This window comes from Homo sapiens, chromosome 12 (genome assembly GCF_000001405.40).
Source record: "Homo sapiens chromosome 12, GRCh38.p14 Primary Assembly".
Classification (NCBI taxonomy): Eukaryota; Metazoa; Chordata; class Mammalia; order Primates; family Hominidae; genus Homo; species Homo sapiens.
In genome coordinates this window covers 118,549,240-118,550,686 of record NC_000012.12, presented here as the reverse complement: position 1 = coordinate 118,550,686, position 1,447 = coordinate 118,549,240, and the positions used below count along the sequence as shown (strand labels likewise).

The 1,447-nt window shown below is 48.7% G+C and overlaps 1 annotated feature.

The window, feature by feature from the left end:
* Window positions 275–485: a silencer, noted in NCBI's record as "fragment chr12:118988007-118988217 (GRCh37/hg19 assembly coordinates)". NCBI's record gives its function as "represses an EF-1alpha promoter that drives an FKBP-Casp9 reporter gene in an ReSE screen in K562 erythroleukemia cells {active_cell/tissue: K562}" and the evidence as "EXISTENCE:reporter gene assay evidence [ECO:0000049][PMID:32094911]".

The following is a 1,447-nucleotide window of genomic DNA, read 5'->3' as shown; positions in this document are numbered from 1 at the left end:
TGCTTTCTGGCTGGGTGCAGTGGCTCACGCCTGTAATCCCAGCACTTTGGGAGGCCGAGGTGGGCAGATAACAAGGTCAGGAGTTCGAGACCAGCCTGCCCAACATGGTGAAACCCCGTCTCTACTAAAAATACAAAAATTAGCTGGGCATGGTAGTGCACGCCTATAATCCCAGCTACTGGGGAGGCTGAGGCAGGAGAATGGCTTGAACCCAGGAGATGGAGGTTGCAGTGAGCCGAGACCATGCCATTGCACTCCACCTTGGGTCACAGAGCAAGACTGTCTCAAAAACAACAAAAAAAGATCGCTTTCCGTGTTAGAGTTTGTAATGAGATTTCATTTGATCAAAACAGCCTGCAGCTACAATTTTTTTTTTTTTTTTTTTTTTGAGAGAGGGTCTTGCCCTATTACCCAGTTGGAATGCAGTGGCTCCATCATAGCTCACTGCAGCCTCCAATTCCTGGGCTCAAGCAAACCTCCTGCCTTGACCTCCCAAAGTGTTGGCGTTACAGGCATGAACCACTGCACCTCGCCTTTATAAAATGTTAATCACAGTCCTTCTTTGCTGCTTTCATGCAACTCTCTTGACTTTCTCTGAGGAATGAAGAAGTCTGGAATAAACAAGACCTCTTCTCTAGGAGAAGAAAGGGGCTCCACCCACAGACAGAAAAAGGGACAGCTGTTATCACACAGAACCACATGAGATGTTCAAACATCAAGTCCGAGACAGAGAGCAGCCCTAGGAGAGCACAGCAGGCCTCCCTGGCAGCTCCTGGCTTTGCTGGGGCTGAGGGAGCACAGCAGACTTTCCCAGTCAAGCTGACGTTGTTTCCTGGTTTCCTGGCCTGGAGCAGCCCCACTCCCAAATGCAAAGTTTAATTTGATTTTTTCACTCGAGTAACCAAGGCATTTCTGACACATTGCTTTTCATGAGGTCCTGTCGTTGCATTAGCTGAGCCATTTCCTCGGGCCTCCTCTCTCTGCTCTGGCTTTCTCTTCCTTTCCCTGCGGTCTCTACGCCTGGCATCTGACTCACTACCTTGCACCCACCTCCTTCTGCAGAGTCGATGTAATAATATACCTCTGTGCTGGCAGCCCCTGCTTACTGATAGTCTATCTTGGGCCTGGGCTGTGTTGGGGACTCCCTCCACACCACAGATAGACACCATTATTCCCACTTTACGGCTGAGATCATCATCCCAAGTTGCAATCTGTTACATTTATTATATTGTTGTGGGTCTTGGAATCAATGGCATCCCATCATCATGTAAATCATTTGGTGGTTGGGATATAATGGATATCACCTGCAGAGAAGCAAACTTGATTGGTTTTCCTTATGGCCTGAGCAGACAACAGCACCGTTTCAACACTGCAGTCAATCATGTCAGGACCACATGGGCAAGAACCATGAGTCCCGAATGTTGTGTCCCCAGGGAAGCTGGCAGAT